At 36.0% G+C, this 25,263-nt stretch overlaps 1 protein-coding gene and 1 pseudogene across 11 annotated transcripts in view; both read right to left on the bottom strand.

Annotated features, from left to right (window-relative positions):
• WDR7 (WD repeat domain 7) overlaps nucleotides 1-25,263 on the bottom strand; it is a 385,248-nt gene that overhangs the window by 67,612 nt on the left and 292,373 nt on the right. For all 11 annotated transcript variants that reach the window (XR_007066131.1, XR_007066132.1, XR_007066133.1 and 8 more), the window contains one exon: nucleotides 6,466-6,565. Coding sequence is in view for 7 of the 11 variants with exons in the window: in NM_015285.3 (NP_056100.2) it covers nucleotides 6,466-6,565 (100 nt within the window). In the remaining 4 variants the exon portion in view is untranslated. The remainder of the gene's footprint in view (nucleotides 1-6,465; nucleotides 6,566-25,263) is intronic.
• On the bottom strand, nucleotides 11,526-11,725 carry LOC124904382 (uncharacterized; annotated as a pseudogene).

Here is a 25,263-nt window from a genome sequence, read left to right as displayed (position 1 = left end):
CAATAATAATGTGTGGATTTTCAGCCAAAGTCAGGAAAAAGTATAGATGAAAGGAGAAATCTGTATCCTGGGCAGTAGAGTGATAAGAATTAACATTAAGGTCCTCTAAGAGATTAGGAAATCCAGTAAATGAGATAGTTGCAAACCAAGGCAGGTGACAATGCTATGGAAGTTAAGGGAAGATAGAATTTGAGAGAGAGGGAAGTCAGTTGTATTAAGCCATGCCAAGGATGTGTGTGGTTTCAGTGGCTCGGTAAAGGTGGAAGCTAGAAGGTGTGGGGTGGAGGGGGTGCTGTAGGCTGCGTGACAAGGCACATGTTAACGTTCCAGAATTTACCTCCTGCTCTATACGGGATTAGAGTTAGACCACAGTTGCCATAGTGCTGTAGATACCATCAATCTTTGCTTCTATTTTATTTCTTTCATTATCTGGCCTATGTCAGGCCTGTAATGGTTTAATACAGAAATATAGATAGATCTTTTATGACTCATAAGAAAGGTTTTTCTATGCTTTTTCTGAAAAGATATCCTATTCTCTCTACACAGAAACAACAATTTGATGACATGATTCTGAAATACTGAAATATAACCATAACCAAACTAATATATTTGATATAATTACAGCACAGTTTGTTTTGGTTTACCATGTCATATTATATTTTTAAAGTTTTTTTTATTCTAAAGCCTCAGAGTTTTTTAGTTGAACAACATGCATTGCATTGTGCATCTACTATATACCAGGCACTAGACAACAGGAAGCTTTAAGAACAGGTTCTTTAAGGAACTTAAAACTTTTCAATAGTAAAGTTATTTTAATAATTTGATATAGAGAAGTCTTTAGCTACACTTTCTTTCTCTATACATCATTGCTTTTTTTTTTTTGGTAGCCCTTCACCAAAGTATGAGAAGAAAGTAAATGCCTACATCTACCAAAGTGGATGACGCCTCCAAGTGACATAGTACAGTCTGTCTGTGGTTTTCTCACCCTTGGATTCAATCAACTGCTGATGGAAAATATTTGGAGGCAAAATGGATGGCTGCATCTGCATTTAATGTGTATAGACTTTTTTTTGGTCATTATTCCCTAACCAATACAGTATAACTATTTATATAACATTTACATAGTATTAGATGTTACAAGTAATCTAGAGGTGATTTAAAGTATATGAGAGGAGGTGCTTTTGTTAAATGTAAATGCCTCACCATTTTATATCAGGGACTTGAGCATCTATGGATTTTGGTATCCCAGGGTGGCCTAGAGCCAATTCCCTGTGGATACTCCACCCAAGGATGACTGTACAAACTTCACGAGGAAAGCTAGTTAACACGAGCCTAAGAGAATCTTGCAAAGAGCGAGCAGTTATTACAAAGAATGCATTCAAAAAGGATTAGAAATCAGTGAGATATGATATCAAGTCTGCCAAACCAAAGGCAAATATTGATAGAGGGAAGATTTTCATTGCTGACTTAACCAAACACATGCCTGGACCGCTAAGGAGTCAGGGACCCTAATTCATCTGCTTAGCAAGAGCACAGCCTATCAAACACAATTTAAGCACTTCTTCATAGGGAGTTAGATACTTAAAAAAAAAATTAAGTAAAATTCCAGTCAGGTATGTTCCTAAATTGCTGGCGGTTCCCAAGTAAAAGCACAGTCAGCAGCACAGCAGGACCTTAACTACTGAATTGCATCAAAGTTTCTGATCTCCATAATCAGTGGAGACTCAGCTACCACCACAGGCAAGAACAGCCTGCAGAAAGGAAACCTTCACATGGCCTAAGGCAGTGCTGCTTCAACTTTTCCACCCAAGCGCTCCCTATTGAGCAGGCTGAACTCCTGGCCTTAGCACCTACAAAAGCCTAGATGTCTCCAGTTTCATCTATAAAATTCCCTACAATTAATGAAATTTAATTGTAATGCAATATATTTCCAATTTTATTTTAATATAATAATCGCCAACATTTACTGAATGCTAACTACTTGGCTGGTGCTGGCTAAGAATTTTACCTAAGTTACCATTTTGACTTCTGACACAGACTCTCTCCTTTGACCAAAACCTTCATCAGGCTCCTCTGAGTTCCCTGCTTGACTAGGCCTGAACTTGGGCTTCCCTCTCTGTCCTTCTTGAATCCAGTTTGAACAAGAATCCTAAGTCAGTTAGAAGGAAATCTCCCTGGGCATCTGACCATACCTCCAATATCTTAATCCCCTGGCCTGCCTTCAGCAAGAATCCTGTCTAGTCAGCTTAGCCAGAAACCCCGTATCCTTGATGTTTCTTTGTAGTACAGTTGACTCTTGAAGAATGCAGGGGTAAGGGGTGCCAACTCCCTCAGAGTTAAAAGTCAACATGTAACTTTTGACTTTCCCCAAATTTGACTACTACTTATAGAGTACTAGAAGACTAGAAGCCTTAACCAATAAGTTGACACAAACCAGTCATTTGACACATATCTTGTATGTTATATGTGTTATATACTATATTCTTACAATTAAGCTAGAGAAAAGAAAATATTAAAATCATAAGGAAGAGAAAATCTATTTACTCTTCATCAAGTGGAAATGGGTCATCATAAAGGCCTTCATCCTCCTCAACTTCATGTTGAATAGGCAGAGGAGGAGGATGAAGAAGAGGGGTTGGTCTTGCTGTCTCAGGGGTGGCAGAGGGAGAAGAGGTGAAGGAGGTGTAAGAGGGGGCAGGAGAGGCAAGGCACACTTGACGTAACTTTTATTGAAAAAAATCCACGTATAGGTGAACCCACACAGTCCAAACCCTTGTTCAAGGGTCAACTGCAATTTTCCATGCACTGACCCCACCCTGCTCCTTGGTTATAAATCCTCAATTGTCCCTGTAGGAGCTGGAGTCTCTCCCTCACTGCAAGACCCCGTTGTAGCGGTCACTATGCCCACCACCATGTCTGCCTTTGATAAAGTCTGCTTTACCATGTTTGTTAACAAGTAAGTAGACAGATTTCTCTTTAACACTTCTAACAATAATAGATATTATTTCTGTTACGATTTTACAAATCAGGAAGCTTCAGCTTACAGAAGTTAATAAACTATTCCAAGGATACAAAGTTAATTATATTAATCTTGTATCAATATAATTATATATATAATCATTAACATAGAGATGGAGTTCAACCCCACACAAATTTCTAGTTATCCTTATCCTCTATATTATACTATAATGTTTTAAATCACTTTTAAATTAGTTGACTCTTCCTCCTCAATTATTTCAGGTAGGGGTTAGCAAACCCTTTCTGTAAAGGGCCAGATAATATTTTAGGCTTGTGGACCACAAAACAGTTTTTGCCAGTGACAACTACTCAATTCTGACATTGTAGTAGACAATATATAAACGAATGTGTGTGCCTGTGTTCGAATAAAACTTTATTTACTAAAACAAGTGGCAGGCTAGCTTCAGGCCATAGTTTGTCACCCCTTGATATAAGGACAATTCATATTTCAGGCCAACATGCCATACTTATCCTGTGGTTTTGCATAATCTGTTTGGGAATAACAGATCTAAAAAAAAAAACAGATTAAAAAAAAAAAGGCAGAAGTCAATACCAAAAGGTAAAGGAAAAGGATTTAATTTTTCCTTTATCTTTTACCAACCAATCTCACAATGACAACAGGGGACATATATGACCCTTCAGTCTCTCAGTCATGGGTTCTCTGATCCCACTGGGCCTCTTCTCAGCCTCAGGATCCTTTCTTGCGTTTCAGTGTGATTCCCCCAATCTAAGTGATCATGTCTTATTTTTCCATCCAACTGGGACCATACCCCTACAGCCAAGTGAATTTTCTAGTTATCCCTTTATATGTATTTTTATGTGATATCGCTGTGTCTTTGTTCATACTAAAAAAAATTGTCCCACACCCTCTGTTAACTGATTCCAACAGATTCTTTAAGAAATGCTTAATTGCATTCTTAGTTCAAAATGATCCTTTGATTCACCTATAATACATCATTTCTAAACATGCTACCCATACTATGAATCTTGTTTCAAATGTTGGCTCATTTTTTTCCAAATATTATAATGCTAGTAAAATAAAAGAATTAAGAGAATAGCTTAAGAGTTCAGTGTCACTGGATATAACTGGTAACTGACAAAAGTAATGATTGATGTTAGAGATTTAGCCTTGTTTTCACGTTCTGAATGATGAGAGGAAGGTGCAGCCTTCCCTTTCATACAGAAGTGGAAGGTAAAGGTTATTCAATAATTTGGGTTGGTAACTTTGGGTATCAAAATCAAGAAGATGAGGTAGGAAAAAATTATGGGGACACTAAAATGTCTAAATAGGCTGGATGCAGTGGCTCATGCCTGTAGTCCCAGCACTTTGGGAGGCTGAGGTGGGCGGATCACTTGAGGTCACAAATTTGAGATCAGCCTGGCCAACATGATGAGACCCCATCTCTACTAAAAATACAAAAAAATTAGCCAGGTGTGGTGGTGTGCGCCTGTAATCCCAACTACTCGGGAGGCTGAAGTGAGAATCACTTGAACTGAGAATTGCTTGAACCCTCAAGGAAGAGGTTGCAGTGAGCCAAGATCACACCTTCTGTACTCTAGCCTGGGCAACAGACAGACACTCCATCCCAAAAACAAACAAAACAAAAATAAGATGCCTAAATATACTAAAATGATATACATAAAATGGCATATGAATGACATTACATATTCTTGTTAAGAAAGAATGTCTTTTTGATAAGTGTTTCTCAAGTATTTTAATTGAAAAAGATAAGATATTCAAAAATATTCTTTTTTTTTTTTTTTTTTGCATGTTACCAAGATCTTCACTGAGACCACTTAGTAGGAAGAAAAATACAGAAATATACCCTGAAGTACAACTTTGTCCTTTCTCATTAATTCTTCCTAATAGCTGTTGTTCTCTCACTCATCTTGGGGTCGCCTCACAGTGCTCACACTGCCTCACTCTTCCTCTGCTGATGGCAGCTGTGTCTTATGTGGTAACAAAGAGTCCTCTCTGTGATCTCCTCACTTCATTTTTAAAGAAGCCTGACAAGGTCACCTTGTTCTTTTTTTTTTTTCTTTACCTGGTAGATGCTTGTGGTTTATTTCTCTCAAATTTACTAGCAGTAATATACTCCAGTTTTAAAAACTGTCTTAACAAAAGAGAATCTGAAAATGCTATCTGAAGAACCTGTCTCTCTTATGAAAGGATCTTATAAATAACATGCAATTTAACTTTTAAACAAGTATTCAGAGTGTTTTCATTGTTCTCAGTGAGGGCCCACAGTAGAAGAATATGGTGGGGAGTTAATGTCTTAAAAAAAATCACAAACAAAATTTGACAGTTAAACAAGTATGGCAAATAGTGCATATTTGATGCACGCCCAGAAAATGCACAATGCACATTCACACATTAGAGACTTTGAGAAGGTCTGAACAAAGAAAGCTGTTTAACATTCCAACAGTATCCCCTAAACTTGTCTGACCCCTGAAATTTTTACCCCCAACACCTCAACACCTGTTACCATCTCTTAGAACTACTTCATGGAAAGAAGCCAGACTTTTAGATAATTAATTAATAGTTCATTAAATTTAACAGACAGTTTAACATTTTAGCTACATCCTTATGAATTTCTTCCTATCCTTCTGGAAATTCCTAATACGATAATATGGAATATATCCACATTAATAAATGCTACAAAGAAATATAAGAAGCTATGACTTGGAACTATTTACCAATGCAACATTATAAATTTACCATGATCATGGTGGAGCCTAACCCCGATTTTGTGAAGTAACAGTGCGACTCTGGGATAAAGTGATTTAAGGCTATGTTTCAATTCCTTTACATCTAAAGTGGGGTTAGATTTGCCCTCTCTTCCCAACTGGTATATATTGAGAATCAGGTGATCAAGATCAGGAACTAAATCAATAATTTTTCACAAACAGTGAAGTGTTATAAAAGCATAAAGTGTTACAAAAGTTTAAAAAGTAGTATTTCAAGTACAGCATGTATTTCCTTTTCACAGAACTATAATAAATGCTGTTGTGATTTTTTCTTTTTTGAACTCTGACTAGATCACTGTCTTATAATTGTGAAATACCTCATTTTGCTTAGAGAAAATTAATTTTTGTTCAATCATTATATCATAATAACATATCATCAAACTTTTCAGAAAACACATGGCAAAAATAAGATCAGAAAACTCGGTTTAAAACAAGAAAATATGTATTGCAAAATAGTTTGTTAGCAGTGCCACCTTACTCTGGGCTCTCTTATGAACTCTTCTGTGGCAACCCTTCAGTCCCAGTGAATGAAGACAGTAGGGCTCTATATTCTGTGCGTCCTTCATTAAACTATTGATCCCTTTAGCATTATCCATAATGTTCCAGCAGCTCAGCACGTCAACTGGTGAAGTGCTAGTCTCTCTCTCCTTTCAATAACTTCCACGCTTTATGGAGAGGAAGTCACAATGATTTATTTACCTGACATTTTCCAGTCCGGATGTCGTACAGGGCCACTGAACCATGGCGAGCTCCAACTGCTATTCTGTGATTCCGCTCATAATAGCTGACCATGTAGAACCTGAGTTGAACATTTTAACAACAAAAACAAAAACAAGAAGCCAGGTGAGATGACCTGCACTTGGAAGTGGACAGCAACATTTCAAAGGTTAAAGCCAGCTCTGATATATATTTTGAAATAAATATATCCATAATAAATATATTATGATTTTTCAAAAATGTTTCATTTTAGTAATTCTTGAAAATTAGCTGAAAGAAAAATGATGTAGAATATCACTTTGGCCTCTTAATAATTATTTTCAACAGAAACAACTTACAATCACAAGCACCCTTGAATTTTTGAAACAAGAAATAAGGGCCAAATAAAAAAAAATTAAATATGAAAATCCAATTTTGCTACGGTGACTACTATGCAAATAGTTCTATTTGAGCAGAAATGGAAAAGATGAGAAGACTTACGTATTCCATGTAATTATGTTCTCCTGGTTTATTATAGTATTAAAGAGTAAACACTATTTACTCTATTTATGATTGTTTCTGGCAGAACAATCATAAAAAGACTACATAAAATTTATGCCTAAGTTCATATCAGTAGTTTAGAATAAAATTAGAAAACTATCCACCAGAAAAAGTTATCCTGTCAAGTTCCCTTGATTTCCCATGTTTACCAGCTTATCTAATGATAGCCATGGCTTTTAGCAGTGTGAATAAGCATATTTGGTACTTATATTGCATTGCATAAAAATAGGATTTAGCAAGGATGGTTTGAAGATTGTAAGAGATTGATTTATTATTTATTTTTATTTTTCCAGATTAATTTTCATGATGAGGTTAAGTATTTGAATTCCTTGTCTGTGCATTGCCATACTGATTTCACGTCTACATGGCTGAGGCCTGAAGGTAAGAATAAAAATTATGAGAAGTATAAATAAGGTATAATTTTATATCTGCGAATAGTTTCAAATATACCTTCCCATTATCTAGTCCTATTGTCTCAGTGTGAGTTGCCCAGATGAACAAGTGGCCTACCCTAGATATTTAGGAGGATTTTGCACCAATTCTATTACACGTTCTTTGTCTTTTCCCCTTGGGTTCCATAATACCAAACTAACTGTTCTGTTAATATTTATATTTTATAAGGGGGGAGGAAGAGGCAAAACATGACAGAAAAAAAAATCTCATTTCTCTAATGCTTTCCTGAGGTAGATATACCAGGGCATGGGACAGCATTTCTGATATTCTAGTAATAGAGGCTGAGAGAGACAAGATATTTGAATGTGGGAGCATTCTGAAACCAGGGATATTCTGACAAAGCCATTTGGCATTAGCAGACACTATGACATTCATATATATTTCATAAATCTGGAAAACAAACCATTAAATTTTTAAACTTTTGTTACTTATTATCAAGTAATACACTGAACAATATTTTTGTCCCAACCCTAAGCCCCACTGAATAACCAACCTCCTCCCCTTTAGTGGAAGGTTAATGCTCATTTTTTTTTTTTAACTTTTAGTAACAGGAAGGAAACCACTTTAGTGTGTCCTGCTGGGTGGATTTTCTGTGCTCATGAATGGCACTGTCCTCTTTGTACATTGGTTTGAGAGAAGGAAGGATATAGAAAGCTCCTAAAACATATGAAGCTTCCCTGGCTACTAAGTGGTTAGGAAAAAGCTAGTTTCTCAAAGTTTTTCTTGTCCAAAGAATATTACTCTACCTTAAGAGAAAGAGTGGGAATCAGCATTCAAAACCTACCATTCTCACATTTGAAAATGAAAATGATTTAGAAGAGTTTAAAAAACAATTTACTGTTTTGTTACTCGATAATTACAGTGGTCTAAGTATTGGGCATCACTGTGTCCATAACTGTGCCTACATCTACATCTATATCTATACACATATACTCATGAATAATGTATGTCTTATTATGGTACATAGAATATAATATCTAACAAATGTTTTAGCAAATATTTATTCTGTGCAGGTTAATAGGCACAGGAAAATATAATTTGCAGTGGTATTTTGTTTTACCTATTATTTGCACAAATTTAACAACTATATTGCCAACATCCTTTTGCAAAACTGAAAATAATTACCCCCAAAATAACCCTCTTCAAAACAATACATTGGTAAGATATACTTGTGTTGACAAAATCTTACTTAGTGAAACTAGAATCTGAAGAGGTTTTGTTACATTGCCCATTTCCTATGCTCTGGATATCAAACTCATCCTTCTGTATCATCTACAAACACCATTATTTATGGTAGAAAGAAAGATCAAATCTATTCCTGGAATCAAATCGTTACTTTTCCTGAAAGGACCATATATATTACAGGTCTGCATTTTTCATTCTTTGGAATTTACTACTGGACTAATACTTGTAAACAATAACTTAAAGAATTCTGGACAGTGAAGGTCATAAGGCATGTTTTAATCTTAGGATTTCTTGTTAAACTTTTTATTCCTTTAGCAGTGGCTCTCTTAACAAAAGAAATCAGTGGTATGTACGCAGTCACTTCCCAAGTATTCACTATGGGAACCAGCTGCAGTGAACCAATCCCTGCTGAGGCTTCCAGAGCCCACCATCCTCCTGGTCTGCTCTTTCCTGGAGCCAGTCCTCCATGTAGGGTCTGTCAAGACGAAGGATGGTAAGTCCTCTATGTAAGGTCTGTCAAGACGAAGGAGCAAGATGCATTACTTGCTCCCTGCCCTGAAGGGATCAATGGATTGAAGAGAAGGGTCCGTTATAGTTTTTAAAGCTGCACTTTTCTAATCTTGACCAGATCCTGCATGACCGATTTTTCCTACGGGATGAAAATTCCTGTAAAATTTGGGGGTTTCAGAGTAAGTGTTATTGTGTGTTGAGCCTTCTGGAAATGGTGTCTTGGTCTCCAGTTCACTGTGTTGATAACATGTCACTTAGGCAGTTGCCCATGACCTGGCAAGAACCATTTTTATATTCATGTTTGAACAACAGTTCTCCTCTGCTAGGCAGACCACAAGGAAACTGTGAAGCCAGAGAACACATCATCACTCAAGTCAGTGAAAGAAGAATCAAGTGGAAATGGGTAATAATGTAAATTATATTTCTTGCTGGAGCTGAGGTGGTCATCATCCAATAAGTTGAAAGTCACTGATCTCCATGCTTTCATCATTGTCCGCATGCAGTCAGAGTAACTTTTCAACAATAAATCACCTCCCTTCTGTTCACAGCCCTGTTCACGCTGCTCTAGTCACAGTGATCTCCTTGCACTTTCTTGAATATGCCAAAGGGGTTCCCATTTGGGGGTTTTGACAGTTGCTGCTCCCTCTGCTTGAAAATCTCATCAGCCTGTTAACTGCCATTGCTCGTGCCCTCACTTCATTTACATCTCTGTTCCAAAGTTATCTTGACAAAGGAGGCTTTTATGGGCCACCTTGTTTAACACAACAGCCTTTTACCCATTATTTTTAACGCAATATCCTACTTTTTCTTTATTATGTCCATCACTATTGAGATATTAAACAATGATTTTTATTTATTGCTTTTTATCCTCCATCTGGGACTTTGTGTTTTGCATGAATACATAAATATGGTCCAAGCAAGTAGGATGCAACAGAAAGTGAAGTTTGAAACATTACACTTACCCATTATCCAGTGTATGATCTATGCTAAACATGGATTTTTATGACCAATGAATATTTTATAGGGTCTAAAGTAATAATTGAGATGAACAACAAAGGAAACAAAAACTGTCCAAAAATGGCAGAAATCAAGAAATGGGCTCTCCCATGACCCTTCTAGAAATGTATTTTCAGTGGAAACAAACAATTGTAGATTTACAAGAAGTTATCTGTAAAGACTCCTGGAGTCTGGGTACCTTAGCATGAGACTGACAGTTACATAATAAAAAATATGTAGTTATATATTAGGGAATTAGAAAAGATTGCATGAGCTGAAATTCAAAAAGGTAAATACAAACAGTCTAAATAATAATATACACAATAAAATATATTTTCAATATAAATGTTGTCCTGGAAAAAAAATGACTCTAAGAATTTGCCAAAGATTTATATTAGCACACACAAATTTCAATAAAAATGGTATCATTTTGATGCCATTATTGAAATAGGGCAAAACATAATTAAAAGATAATCATTTATCAATCATTGTTAACTATTACTAGAACACGTTATTGTGGAGGAGTGATACAATCCAGTTCTTCCGAGATGTATTTGTGACTTCAACTATTGAGGAGCAACCCACAGTGGGGTGTACAAAACCCCGGAGAGGGATGGTTTGAGTTTGAAACACAAATATGAACTGAGTCTACTCTGGCACAGCAAATCACTTTGAAGCACACCATGTTGCTTGGGAGTTTGCCAAACACTCAGTACCTGAGTTTCTAAATAACTTTGGCACTCCCTATTTATACTTTCCCTTGGATTGATGAACTTTTAATCTTTATCAAAAATGGCCTGCAAATAAGAGAAAATGTGTGAAACTTAAAAGTTAATTTGAAAAAAGAAATAGAAAACATGCAACTCTCAGCAGATTAGGACTTGGGAGAAAGATAGAAACCTGTAAAATCACTTTAACTATGAGTTCAGCAATTTGCAATGATCTCAGGATGTTAAGTTACTGCTGTATATCACTTCCTTGGACATTAGAATGCAACAAGAAACACTCTTCAATTAATCCAAGATTAACCTCCAGCTTCACATGAAACCATCTTAAATCTAAGCGTACACAAAAGAGAATATAGGGAATAAAACTATCTTTTTTTCCCCAAAATAATACCACAACTACTACTATGTGCAGCTAACATTTACTGAGTATTATGTATCAGGCACTGTCCTAAGTATCTGTATATGTATTTTCAAAAGTAACCGAGGTATTATGAGCAATTCTTATTGAGTTGTTTTTAGGAATTCTTAACATTGATTTAAAATGTTTCACACCCACTAACAGTAACTACTCTTAACTATTTACTGGATCTGGATCTTAAGAGAGCTTTTTCTACCTTTTTTTTTTTTTTTCCCATTCAGACTGCATCCTCTCCCTCTTACTCTCGCAGAGGAAGAGAAGAACCATCAGTAATGGCAAAGCGCAGTTGAAGGGAAGCAACATGCTCAGGGGAGGATGCTGCGCCTCCTCTTTGTGATTTCTGCTGCTCTACACATTCAGAGCAATTTCTCTAGTAACAAACTATAGAAATGATCCTTGAAAGTATCGTCTATTTTCTAACCTTTAATACAAAAGTGATGTACATACTACACATACTTTTCTGCAACTTCGCTTTCTTCATGGGATGGTCCTCTCATGTCAGCACACATGGATCTCATGTCATTCTTGCTCACATCTGCATTGTAGTTCTGCGTATGTGCATTATATTATTTAACCATTCTTTTTCTGATGGGAACTTAGGTTATACTGTACACAGATCCTTGTATACCTAGGTATTTTTGTAGGATAGTCACCAAAGCTGCATCAAAGCATATGTACATTTTAAATTTTAGTAGACAATGCAAAATTGCCTTCACTTTTCACTAAAAGAATGTTCCTACTTGGTATTACCAAACTTCATACTTTTTTGCCAATAAGAGGAAAAAAAGTATCACATTTTTGTTTTAATTTACACAAAGTGACTTTTTAGACTGATCCACTTGGTTACAGTCTGCAGGATATGCATGTAGGTTACATTCTTAATGTAAAGAAAAATTATTTAAAATCGAATCAACTGCATGTTGCATCCCTTTATTCATCATGCATACTGGATGGGAAAGGAAATACCTATGAGGTATTCCCAATAAACCACAGGAAAGATTTGATTACACAACACAGGCAAGCTGGTTCTGCAGGAAAGAACAACAGGACTTCTACAGTGGAGCAATGTACATGTCACTTTGACCCCAAGAAGGTACCAGTGACAACCAACTACCTCAACCTCCTTGGCTAGACAGGACAAGATGCCAAAGAGCTCTTTCGGGGCCACAAACTTGAGGAGCTCAGCCTAAAAGATTCAAGGGTAGGTTCTCAGAGAATTGGTCAACAGCCCTCATGGATGCCATAGCCACAATCAAGGGGGACAGTTTTGTTCAGGAAGAGGCACTGTCTAGAACATGTTTGCATACACCCTCCAGAATTTCAGACTGCCATGCTGCTAATATGTTTGAAAGGTTCATAGACATCAAGGTGGCTTTGGTGAAGGCATCAGCTCAGGGCGAGCTGTGTTGTTAGTTTTGGGGGCTATGAACGGTGGAGGGTGGGGCAATGTTTTCCAGAAATGCATCATTCCTGTGGAGAGCACTAGTTCAAAAAACCAAATGAAATATCTCTTATTCTGGGATGGTGACAGACACTGGGGAATTCCATTTGAGAGTCACTACTTCCCAATCAAGGTTTTGCACACTGTAAATAGTCAATAAGTATTTCCTGCTGAGTAGTTCATTTCCCTCTGAAAAACTTGCCACAAGCACACTGTAGCTGGCATGTTACAAGCAAGATCAAAAATGTTTCCTGGGCTATCCAGGCATCAGCAATCCTGCAAGGAAAAATAGCATGCACATCTAGGGTTTGAGGTACAATGGCTGAGAAACAGGTTCCTTATTGCCTGGATCTATACTTACTAATTGTGTAACCATGAGTAAGTTCATTAACTTGTCTATGTCTCAGTGTCCTGATATGGAACAGGGGAACAATAATGGTACTTATTAAAGTATTGTGTGGTTGAAATGAGTTAATGCAACAGAAGTACCTAAAACAGTGCCTGACACATAGTAAACACTGGTAGGTGCATGCAAACCGTATCAGCTATCATCATCATCATCATCATCATCATCATCATCATCATCCATCTGCATCTCTGAATATATACTACAGAGAGATTAAATAAGATGTAGTTAATTTGCTATTTTCCTAGGGCAAATAAGTGTCAACTAATAACATGCTAATACATAAGGAAAATGAATGCTCAGAATATTTTAAATTTATATATTTTCAAATACTTACAATTTACAAGTATAAACCTGATAATAATTGCAAATTATTTTATAGCTTCCATCTAAATTTGCTAATATAATAGGGATTTGGTCTGAAACACTTTTCTGTAGCATTTCAAACAGGCTGAAAATTAAATATTCCTCCTGTTATACAGTGAAATGGAATACTGCTGGAAGGTCAAGTTTTTTGTTTTAATATGAAGAACTTTAGCATTAAAAGACAGCCACCTGTCTGGGAGATTTTAGGATAGACAAACTGGACTAGAATGATTTTAGAGGGAGTTCTACTTGTGAATATAGAAGTAACATCTATAATTATTTATCATGAAATGTATTCTATAAAATGAGACCTAACTTAAGAATTTTACTGGAATTTAGGACTGAAGCTACTTTACATCCCATTATTGTAATCACCATATGGGATAAAAACAAACCACAGATTTGGAGGAGTTTCTTAAAATATGAGCTCATGCACTGTTCTAAAGTAGACAGTGTTCATTTCCTTACTAGATTTTAAGTGCCCATTTAGGTGAACAGAGCTGATTCAGCTTTTCACTTGAAAAGCAAAATCAATCAGTCTGTCTACATAATAACGAAGTTTAAGAAAAGGTAAGCTATCTCTGAAAATGCAGACTTTTAACTGTTCTGTCTAGATTAGTTTTTTCATTCAGTTCAAAAGTTTAAACACTTATTTTACCTTGAATTTTTTAAATCTTATCTGTGTTATAGCTATAACGTTTCCCCAATGACACTTTTTACTATTTCTTTCATTTGCATTATTCTAATATATATCCAATTTTAAAGAAACACACACTCATTGAAAAGAGAAACACAGATGATTTATCATAGAAAAACAGTTAAGAAGTGAACGTAACTCTTTACCAATAATTCCCTCCCATCACCCCCAGTATTCACCAGTCATAGCTTGGGGTGTGTCTTTCCAGATCTTTTTCTCTTCATATATATACCTGTATAGGTATGAATATTGATCTTCACATATAGTTTTCTTTTTTAAAAATGATTTTATTTTACATACTCTTCTGCAATATTGCTAGCTTCTTTTAAAATTTCTCTTTTGCTAACATCTTTCCATGTCAGTAGAAATGGCTTACCTCAATCTTTTTAATGGCTGTATGGTATGCCACAGTTCTCTACATTTAATAGAGGCAACTGTTAGTAAGAAATAATTTCATTTAGAGGACACAAGTGAATGAGTGTTTTAATATAAAGCATATTATTCTATGTAAATACCAACATAACTTCCGACAAAGGTCAACTAAAAGTTAATCAGTTAAATCCAGCAAAAACAGTATTAAACACTTTAAATTTTAATGTCAATGATTTTAGAGGGATTTCTACTTGTGAATATAGAAGTAACATCTTAAGTAAATTAGAGAAAATTATATCCCAAGTCCTTTAAAGTTAGTACCCTCCATGCCACTACTAATGTCTTTAATATCTACTGGAAAGCCAAAGTAGTTGAGTCATTACATGCATTGTTCAGTTCTATGCACATAGTGCTTGAGAATTTCTTCATTCTTTGCCATGAAATATGCAATGTAAAAGAATACACACTGTAATTTTTGCAAAGTAATCATTGATTCATTAGTCAGCGATTCACAATAGTGTTTAATTAGTATTTCGTTCAATGAGAGTCATTCTTATATATAAAAATAAGCATAGATTTTGGAGTCAGAAGGATATATCTGCCTGACAAACATCTACTCATCTTTGAAAACTCTGCTAAAAATACTACCAGTTCTCCTTTCCTCTATGCAAAACTGCCAGCTCCCTCCTTTGTGTCCCTCTTATCATGGCACTGGGTCTCTTCTGTGTGTCCTGGACACTCTTTTCTCATAGTGTTTGTGACAGCTCACTGATTGATCTCTCTGTCTCTGCCAAGCCAACTTTAAGGCCCTTTAGGGCAGGGACTGCCTGACAGGCCCAGCATAGCACACAGCACAGACAAACGAAGAATTGAATGAATTGGAAATTTTCAGAGAAGTCACACAAGTGCTTAAAAATTATTTTACTTTGTTAAATTGAACAAGTTCAATTTTTTGATTCCTATTTGTTGAGTGGCTTGTTTTTTTCTAATTTTGGAATTGGGTACTAAGATTAGCCATTTATATGTTAAAAACCAGTCAGTTAAAATATTTTCATTTTTATTTTCAGTTCTAAAGATAAACACCATATAGTGTTATAAATATCAACATTAAATATGACTGAAGTTTCTATTGATTTTTCATCTCTTTAATAAGTATACTGAGTGGATGATATGCTTTTTTAAAAATACGGTTTATTTTTTAGAGATGTTTTAAAATCAAAGCAAAATGAGGAGAGAGTTCCTATATTACTCCTACCTCTGCATACACACAGCCTCCCCCACTATCAATATCCTCCACCAGGGTGACAGCTTTCTGATAAATTTACATATCATTCACATTAGCGTTCACTCTTGGTTTTGTACATTCTATGGATTTTGACAAATGTATAATGGCATACATCTACCATTAGAGTATCATATGTATCATATAACATAGTGTCACTACCCTGAAAATCCTTTCTCCCCCGACCTCTGGCAACCACTAATCTTTTTCTGACTATAGTTTTGCCATTTCCAGGATGTCATATAGCTGGGGATCATATAATAGATAGCCTTTCCAGATTGATTTCTTGCATTTAGTAATATGCATTTAGTAATATGCATTTCTCCATGTCTTTTCATGGCTTGACAGCTAATTTTTTAATAGTGCTGAAAAATATTCCATTGTCTGAATGTAAGAGAGGTAATATGCTTTTAAAAAACTATCCGTTTGGTTTCCACTTAAACGTTTTTCTCCATAAAACTTCATCAGATACAAAAATAGCATTAAACAAAATAGGAACTCCTTGTTTTTCTTAAAACATGTGATTTACTTTCCATATTAATTGAGTTCTTTGTTCATTAAATAGTCTTAGTGTAGGATTACGTTTGAGAGTAATTATTTCAAAGAATTTTTAGGAAGGCATCAAAGAAGCTGCAGCATTCATATAGCCCTGCATTAAGATGTATATATTTTAACATGTTTCAGTATTGTAAGACAATGGTTGGTAATCATATATTTGTAAGTCAGTCACGAGAAAAGTAGCTGCTACGCAAAAATTTTAATATTTTGGAGTTGAATGTTGCCAAGGTTAGCAGGCACAAGAGCCCCTTGTTTCATACAGGAGGAAACTGAAGTCGAGTGATGTGCTCCAGACTGCACAGCTGGGTGTGGCAAAGGCGGGAGCCCTCACCACCTGGAATTCGCTGTCTCACCAGAGGCAGTCCCACAGGGACAGCTGAGAGCAGTGCTTCTCAAGTGTCCACACTGACACCAGGATGTTATTTGCCCTTTTCACTCTCATTTTCTCACAAATGCATAGCTGAGTTTTCCAGATTTTACATGATCTGAGATATCACAGGTGGAAGCGGATAAGATAATTCAGCTGACTTATGTTAAGCCAGACATCAAAGAGGTTGGCAAACATCATTTTTCATAAAAGTATTTTTATGTTAACATATAATGGGTTTTTAAACAAAATAAATAATTTTAAAATTTCTCAGTTTAAATTTCTAATATGGCAAATATTGATAGTTATAACTCACTGTAAACAAATGTTCTTTGGGCTCTTCAATAATTTTTAAGAGTTTAAAGGGGTCCTAAGATTAAAGAGGTTGAAAATTATTCACTTAGAGTCTTAAATCTTTGAAAAAGCAGACTATATACATAGTGTATATATGCATATATGTATATGTGCATGTGTATATACATATAGTGTGCATATAAATATCTTAAGATATAATACAGATATACAGTATATATGTAGCTTAAGATATATACATCACGTGTGTATATATCTTAAGATTTCATATATAAATTCCATATTTTAGGGAATTATATATATTCTGTATCTTTGAGAATTTTGTTTCAAAGACACAAAAGCAAGCTAAACACAAATGCTTAGGGTTGCTGAGAAGAAACTGTAAGATAACCTTAGAATCGACAGATGAGATGACATTTAGGATGGGGAGAGGTAACTGTCAACTAGAGAAGGGAAAGCCAAGGTAACAAAGGTGAGGAAGAGGGTGTGAGGAAGAGGTACGGGAGTGTGCGCCCTGGCTCTCTGTTCTAGGAGCAGGCTCTTTAATCCTCAGTGCAGGCACAGGGTCTCTGCATTCATCATTCAACAGTTAAGGTTGCTGGGACTATAATAGGAAATTATCAGAGAAGTTCCCTGTTCTTAAGGGCCTAATGAGTAAAAAAAGGATAAACAAGAGGAGTGAAGATTATAGAATTCTGTGAAGCTAAAAGGGTAATAATGTGAGAGTGATGGCGAGGAGGCTATTATACATAGGGAGGTCAGAGGAGGTTGACCTGAACGGTGAGACCAAGCTGGCTTCGTCAATATCTGGAGGAGGTGCCTTCTAGGCAGAGGAAATAGCAACAACAAAAGTTCTGAGGTAGGAATAAGCTTGGCCTTATTAAAGGAAAAGAAAAAAGACTAATGGGCCCTGAGCCTACAGAATTTGAGAATGGCACTTCAAGAATGCAAGCCTGACACATTTAAGAGGACGTCATCTATAACATGACCTCAAAACAATAGGCAGATTTGCTACCAAGTATTATGTACCATGGTGATTTAACATCAAATGCCCATGGTTCCTTAAGGAGGTCCCCTTCTGGAATCAGTGGCACTGGAATTTGAGGACAGTCAGGAATCCCAAGAAAAGTTAATGGTCCTTTAAAATAAGTAGAAGTTTCAGGATTTCTATTGAGCTACAGGAAACGTAGCCTTAGTTTTCCTGAAATCTAGCCTACCTTCTCTCCAGGTACTGGATTGTAGGAAAGGTTATCACTTTGGGATATGGGAGATGCAGAAAATAACGAGTTTTAAGAAAGAAAAAATATGTTTCATGATTCTGTGCAAAAGGATTTCACTACATCAGTGGTTCTCAAACTGTGGTTTGCAGATGCCTTTCCTTTGAGAAGTCTATGAGATCAAAACAATTTTCATAAAAATACTGAGGTATTATTTGACCTTTTCATCGTGTTGACTTTGCACTGATGGTGCAAAAGCAATGGTGGGTAAAACTGCTGGCACTTTAACCCGAATCAAGGCAGGGGCACTGACACGTACTAGTTTAGCAGTTGCTATATTCTTCACTGCCACGCTGGCAGTGAGCAAAACAACAGAACAGTTTCACTTCAGAATATCCATGATGAAAAAGTTATTAATCAATTAAATTTCAACCCTTGAGTACACATTGTTTCAATATTCAGTGTGACAAAGTGGAAAGTACACACAAAGCACTTCTGTATACTGAAATCTCATGGTTGTCTTGGAGAAAAACACTCGTCAGATTGACTTGCAAAATGAACTAGCTGCTTTTCTCATCGAACACCATTTACTTGAAAGCATAACTGAGAGAAAAACTACAGTTATTTGGGAGATACTTTCTTGAATATGAACAAAGTTAAGCCTTTCCAGGAAAACAACTGACAAGATTTATTGCCAACGATAAATTCAAGCTTTTAAGTAAAAATAAGAATTTTGGAAGCCTGTATCTGGCTTCTCAAAACTAACTTTTTTGAGGAGATCAGCAGTAATATTAGCAAATGTGCTATTTTAATATTGTTAAATGCAAAGTGACCATATATGGAGAGACAACATAACTCAGTGGACCAACATTCTCCGAAGACCAGTGCATAATGTTACAAAATCACAGGCAGGTGAAAGACCCATTCAAAGTGCAAGATACACTGGTGGATTTAATATAACAGTAAAGTTCATGTGACTGCAGATTCCATACTGCAACTAACCTTTAAAAAACAATCACATGTTGAGTTTTGGTGTAGTGCCCAAGAAGATACAAAATTACCTGAAAAGGCTATTAAAACATTCCTCACTTTTCAACTACACGTCTGCGCAAGCAGATTTTTAAATTCTGACCATATATTCCAACCAAAACAATATACTGCAACAGATGAAAGACATGCATAGATATTAAATTCCACCTGTCTTCTAGACAGTAAAGAGATCTGACAAATGTAAAGCAAGGCTACTTTTCTCAATATTTGTTCATTTTGGAAAGTATTTTTCATAAAATATTTCTACATCAATGCAAAATGAGTTTATTTTAAATAAATCAATATTTTTAAAATGCTCAGTTTTAATTTTTAAAAGATGAAAATATAGATACAACCTTCATAAACAAAAACTCAGGTCTTCAATTTTGATGAGATCCTGAGACCAAAAAGTTTGAGAACCACTACTTTAAAGACTGAAAAGCATTTCGTAATCAAAGATTGCTTGTAGCCAAAGGGAAAGAGAGAGAGAGAGAGAGAGAGAGAGACTTTAGAAAACCAGTGGGGGCAAAAATCAGATTCCAGTAGATGAAGAGAGTGGGAGAGGTGACAAACTGGATGAAGTGTAAACTCCTTGTCCTGGAGAAGGATGGACTGGACAGTAGGTGGAGAAGATGCAGAGAGAAGGAAGGGTTTTTACAAGAGAACAAAATACACTTCCAGGCTGAGAAAGAGATGCCATAGAGAGAAAATGAGATGAAGGATGGAGAGGAAGAGGCCTGGGCTTGGAACTCAGCAATGGTCAGCTCATCCTCTGATGAGATGGCTGAACTCCATGTGTGCCCCTGACACGTGTAAGCCTGTGTAAGAGTGCACACCCCACTCTGAAGAGCACAGAGCAGGGATGAGATCTGTTCAGGAAAGCTGGGCTTCACTTTGGTCTGATTGTCAGCACAAAAAAAGCTCATCAGTTTGCCTGTTTTTAAAATGAAGGACAGGAGGCAGTAAGTCATAACAGAAGGTCTTTTATAGAATCAAAATTTTACAACTTGTAATTCTATAAAAATAATGCAGTAAGGTCACTGCTTAAGCGAAAGAACTGATGCCATTTATTAGGATGAAATTAAGGACTAAACACATGAAGCGCCATAGCTAGTGTCATTATTCAAGCACAGTTACTGAACTGAGTGGCTACATTGAGGGCGTATATTTTTTTAAACTAAAAATTGGGACAGAGCCCAACAAAGGATCTTTTTTTTTTTTGAATCTGTGAATTTATTTGACAAGTCTTTGAAAACCATAAAATTAAATCATTCTTGGTTATACATCAAATAAACTGCCTTAACTTAAAACAATAAAAGTGAGTGAAATAAGGACCTATCTGGGAATGCTGGGACATATGGTCTTTGGCTAGTTGGAGTCCTCTACTAGTTGCTATAAAAGAAATGAAGGGGAAAGCCCCTTTCCTCAAGCTACTTATAATGTGCAGTTTTAAGCTACTTATAATGTGCAGTCGTGCATATAATGTACGACTGTGCAGTTTTAAGTGACCAAAAATCACGTCTAGAGGCATATCTAATTTTTGCTCTGAAGAAATCCTAAAATCTCTTATGACTTACAATTTCATTAAAAAAAAACCCTAATCCTTTATTTGTCATGCATTACGCCACTACCAGACCTCAAGATCATAATACAATCACCGTAAACTTACAAAGTACATTATATTTGTAGAAGTATTTTATCTTCATTTCTAACGGAGCCTTGATAGTAGCTTCCAAGAGCTTAAACCTCTCTATTCTGACATTAGTAAAGAATACTTTTGCCAAATAAAAAACAAGCATTCCTTTTGGAACATGTGCGTATCACACATACAGATTCTAGAGTGCTTTTCTCTGGACTCAGTAGCATCTGTGCAGAACACACCGCAAGTACTGCTCTACGCCTTCACGTTTCATGATGCTGCAGCACACTAAGTAGTGTAACACCAGTCAGCATTGATCCAGTGACCAAAGGAAGACACATAATCCAACTGAGTCAAGCATGGCACACTCCGTGTTGATTGGTCTTCTGCGTGAGGGACTTCACAAGGGGATCTGAGTTCAGTAACGTGGCAACTTGCAAAGGAATTTTAACAAGGAATTCTGAAGAAATTTCAGTGATGTTTATCCTCCCAAGCCTTGAAAGGAGTCAGTTCTACTTTCTTGGCGTCTAGGGTATTTTTAACTGAGGATGCTGTATTATTTATAGTCCAGGCAATTAAATGTAAATTACTCAGAACCCTCTAACAATAATTATCTAGAGTGCTAGATGATGCCTTTTTGAAGATCACCGAGGAGACGTATGAAGGCAAAGCCAAGGCCCAGCTGGGAAAGAACCAACAGAGATTCATTTCTTAAATGTTACCTTATTGTGCTTCCTATTCTGCTCATTTATAAACATAAAACTAATTCAGTGCTGCAGCAGTCTTGTGGCTAATACGTTTGTGATTTAAAATGGATGCAGTTTGATTCCTATAAAATAATACAGCCATATTTGTTACAGTGATAAAACATCTGACAGGAGAACTATTTTGTATAACTGTGTTTTGAAGGATGTGTGTGCTACATTTTTTCAAGGGCACTGAAATCTAAGTAATTTTCTTGTATTATTAGTAGATGACACTATATTATTAATATCCCAGAAAGTGAAATGTGAATTATTAGGAAATATTTAAAGCTATGACTATAACATTAATACAGCTAGTTAATAGTGTGTGATTTTTACAACTTTTACTGGATTTATTACAGAAAAATATCTATAGCTACGTAAACAACTCCAGGAAGAGCTAAAGTATTTCAGTTAATACAAAAAATGTCTTTTTTATTGTAGAAAATAATCATAGCTGATAATATTCTCACAATGATTTTTACTTTCATGGCTTTTGAAATAAAACCGTGTATTTCATATACACACACACATATATGTACTTAGGTACATATACACATACATAATACATACACACACATACATAACATAAAGGACTTAGGGAAGCTTCTAGAATACAGTAAAAAGACAAAAAAGACAAAGCTGAAGGTATGATTATGAGGGAAGGAATACAGGAGACAAAAGCCATAACTTCCTAGACATAAGCAGGGACTTTGGCTTTGAACTGCTTAATGCCCAAGGCAAATTTTAAAATTAACACCGGTTATACGAGAAAAACAAACAAACAAACACAAACAAACAAAACCCACATTCTAGGTTCCTTAGGAAAACAAAAACGGGCTGTCATCTAGATTTAAAAGAAATGTCTCGATTGAGTCTTCGTAGAAGGGACACTAAACAATGTACTGAGTGACATCAACATGACAGCCCTGCGATAACGGGGCCACCATGTTCTTATGCACTCCCTTGAAAGGTGGCTCCATGCAAATGGCAGGCCTAATGCTGAAGAGGAACATGGGCAAGGAAACCCCGGAGGAGAACAGACAGCCTAGGCCAAACATGCAGCTCTTGGATGGTTTCACCCAATCTAGGGATGTAAACTAGAATACTCTGAGGAATAAATGGACCACATGTATTCTAAACTAGCTTCTTAGTGCTCTGTGTTTCTCAGCTGAGTTTTAGATAAAACCTGATTAATGAAAGTTTGCACTTAAAGTCATCAGCAGGCATTCTGTGGCACTAAGATCAAGTCTTTAAAAGCTCATGGTGTATCTCTGGAATGCATGGGATGAAGGAATATCTTCAGGCATTTCCTTAGAAATTCTGAGTTTATTCAATATATAAATGAATAAACATCCAAGGACTTAAGGTTTTACATAACACAACATGGCCACAGAGAACAATGACTCAGGTTTTGTTTTTCTTGATTTTGGATTACTAGAGTACTTGGTTTTCAAAGTTTAGTGTTCATAAGAATCACCGGGGGAGGCTATGAAATTGCCAGGCTTCAGGAAAGTCAGCTGTAGTGGCTGTCATGTGGATCCTAGAAATCAGGTCATTCTCTTGAAGGTAGTCTGGGAACAGTACTCTGAGATCATTCTTCTCCCCAGTGCCTGACAGGGAGCAAGTACTCTGCATGTTTCTAAATTTCACCTTCCTATCTGTGTCCTCAGTTCTCTCAGCTACTAGGCACTGAATGTACCTTATTTAATATTCAGTTGTGTGAGCTCCTTCCTAGCATGTTCTTGACAGTCACGGAATCTCTAAAACTACCTGGTTTATAAACTACACACATATTTTATGTCTTCTCTATGAGAACCTGCAATTTCATGCTGACCTCAGTCCTACAGACAGCTACAGACTATTCTAGGGCAGTCACACTGTTCATAGGATAGATTTTTATAGAGTTGGACACGAATTGCATAATAGAAGAGTTGAACAGTGTGACTGTTCAGAAAAGTCAACTCTTCTTTGCACGTTGGCCCCTAAAAAGTTTAGACACAAATGTATGGCTCACCTCTGGCAAATACAGAGGACTTCTATTCTCATGTTGGCCTTGTCTTGCTTTCCTACTCCTATTCTTCCTTTGCCTCAATTTCCTCACTATTTTTACATTTGATGATCACTTTCAAAGCTGCTTAAACTCCTTTACGGAACAGGGTAAGTGGATGTTTTAAGTATGTGTGTATGTATGTGTACATGCATACACAGATGGATAAATACATACAGGTTAAAAGCTAGATATAAAAAATAATCAATGATGAATAAGAAGGTTTGGGTTTTATCTTGGAGTTAGAACTTTATTAGTCACTGAACTAATAAATATCACTATAAATATCACTATCTAATTCTCCAAAAATGTTTACATTTACATAGTGTCTTCTTTAATTTGCTTGTGAATTAATAGGTTTGAAAACATTTAATCTGCAAAGTGCGATATAAATGAAAAATATATTATTAATTATGCATTGCTATAATCCCATGTTTTAATATCAACAAGCGAGATTCAGTCAGTGATATAGAAAGAATGTCTATCAAATTTTACTGGTATGCGCTCTAAACCATTTCTGTTTTCAAACAGATGACATCGGAAGTTTTAACAGCTGATAGAAAAGCTATTATATGAACAAAATTTTTAAAACTAAATTTTTTGTATAGATGCTTTCAATGGATTCACAGTTTATAGCTCAAATTTTAAATATGTTTTGAAGAAAGTTATCACAGAACAAAGAAATTCAGTTAACATTGTAATTTGGTGACTGAATGTACCACTCATTAAATTATATATTAAGTCATTATGAAATCATTAATAAACGGGACTTTAATAAAATGGAAATTTTAATTTGCAACCTGATAAATAACTATCAAAATAAAGAAAATCTTAGAGAAATTACCACGTTAAAGTTTTAAAATCCTGAACCTAAAAATGAAAACCCAGGTGCACATGAGAACTACAAGACTGGCTGGGCGCAGTGGCTCACGCCTATAATCCCAGCACTTTGGGAGGACGAGCCAGGCAGATCATGAGGTCAAGAGATCAACACCATCCTGGCCAACATGGTGAAACCCCATCTCAACTGAAAAAAGAATACAAAAATGAGCTGGGCGTGGTGGCTCACACCTGAAGTCCCAGCTACTTGGGAGGCTGAGGCAGGAGAACTGCTTGAACCTGGGAGGCAGAGGTTGCAGTGAGCCGAGATTGCGCCACTGCACTCCAGCCTGGCAAGGGAGTGAGACTCCATCTCAAAAAAAAAAAAAAAAAAAAAAAAACCCACAAAACATACAAAAAAACCCTACAAGCCCACTGGTGAAGGTGAAAAAAACTAAATAACAAAATAAAACCAAAAAACCCAAACTCAGGATTATTCAGCATTCTATATATAATGCTATTTTATCTTTGGACTCACAGAGAATAATTTTATGTTTACCACAAGTCAGAATACATTCTGTTTTTAAATACTCAATGACTTCAGGATACTATATTAGTTAGCTCTTAATTAAATTAATACAGCTTTAGATGT

Source organism: Homo sapiens, chromosome 18 (assembly GCF_000001405.40).
Source record: "Homo sapiens chromosome 18, GRCh38.p14 Primary Assembly".
Taxonomy (NCBI): domain Eukaryota; kingdom Metazoa; phylum Chordata; class Mammalia; order Primates; family Hominidae; genus Homo; species Homo sapiens.
This window is presented reverse-complemented; position numbering and strand designations above follow the sequence as displayed.